Source organism: Homo sapiens, chromosome 10, assembly GCF_000001405.40.
Source record: "Homo sapiens chromosome 10, GRCh38.p14 Primary Assembly".
In the NCBI taxonomy this organism is placed as follows: Eukaryota; Metazoa; Chordata; class Mammalia; order Primates; family Hominidae; genus Homo; species Homo sapiens.
This window is the reverse complement of record NC_000010.11, coordinates 44,048,293-44,049,754: the sequence shown is the minus strand read 5'-3', so window position 1 is coordinate 44,049,754 and position 1,462 is coordinate 44,048,293. Positions and strand designations below refer to the sequence as shown.

General features: G+C 43.0%; 1 annotated feature.

Annotated features, from left to right (window-relative positions):
* Positions 544–713: an enhancer, noted in NCBI's record as "experimental_12630 CRE fragment used in MPRA reporter constructs". NCBI's record gives its function as "activates a minimal promoter by MPRAs in K562 erythroleukemia cells, with activity observed for both the introgressed and non-introgressed 10:44544575 variant alleles {active_cell/tissue: K562}" and the evidence as "EXISTENCE:reporter gene assay evidence [ECO:0000049][PMID:34662402]".

The following is a 1,462-nucleotide window of genomic DNA, read 5'->3' as shown; positions in this document are numbered from 1 at the left end:
CTTACTGGCGGCTGGTGGGAGGGCCAGCCTTTCTGTCCTTTCCAGGCCTTTAACACATTGGGAAAGTCAATCTGCTTTACTCGGTCCATGAATGTAAATGCTAATCGTATCCAAAAACACCCTCATAGAAACCCCCAGAATAATGTTTGACCAAATATCTGGCCATTGACACATAAAATCACTGAGGCCAAAACACAAAATGAGCTGTTAGAATGACCGAGCTACACTGAAATAAGTGTGAGTAGTTTTGAGCAGATGGTAGAGATAGAGCCTCACTGCCAGCAGGCCCAGCTGGAGGAGCAGTGAGAGGGCGAGGGCCCTGGTGCCCAGCACATGAAGGTGTGTGAGCATTCACTCAGGTTAGTGTATTACTTCCATCCACATGAGAATCCCTCCACCCTGCCCACGTCCCTGACTAGAGGAATTCCACCAGGCTATCTTCTCTCCCTGTCACAGGAGCTTCTCAGGCTGTCATATGGAAACAGCCCCACCCTTCCCTTCTGCTTGTACCTGGATGGAGACATTTGGGATCTAGGGCTTCAGGAGAGTAGAGGTTGTTCTATACCTCAGAGGGACAGATGCCCTGCATAATCCCAGGTTCTAGCTAGACCTGCCTGGAACTAAAAATCAGAACAGAGAGCCTCTTACAAATGTCCCTGGCCTCAAAACATGTTTCATTTTAAAATATAACAATAATAACAGGGCCCCGGGGGAATGTTATAAGAATGTGATCCAACTGCAAATGGGATGAATATCAAGACAATTTCCAAAATCAAAGGGCGCCCTATGGGACACTGAGTGAAATGGGTGCTCTCATTCAGCTTCTCAATTTTCCTTTTTCAATATGAATTCCCTAAAATACACATTAAAATGTAGCAGGGATAAGTATTTGTCACAAAAAAATCAATTGCCAAAACCATCACGCTGGATAGGGCATAAGATCAGCAACAGTTCAGGGACTTTGAAAGCAACCTAAATTCTTAGGAAATGGACTGTGTTTGCTCTAAGGATGTCATTGAGAGCTACATCACCTAGTGTCCTCTATCAAGACCTATGAGGAATATTTCTCTTAGGTCTCAGTACCAGAAATAGCTATGCCTGTCCTGAGCCACTGGCTTGTGCTTTCTTTATGGGCACCCTGACATGCAAATGATGTTACCTCCTTTCTTCTTGTTGCTAGGAAACCCAGCCACATGTGTGGGTCACCTATAGCAAGGTTGCAGGACATTCTGGAATGCATTTTATGGCCAGTATAAACTTTTGTCTGTCCATAGTTTCCCTATTCATACTATCCCTTTGCTAGTTTACATATGGCATTATATTTTTAAGAGACACCTTAAATCCTTTCAGGAATGAAGACAAGAAATAAATCATTGAATAAAGAAATACAAATAATGGTTTTTATTTACAAAACAAACAAACAAAAGGGGACCTAAGAATGTGTAAGTTCAATAGTGTCTGC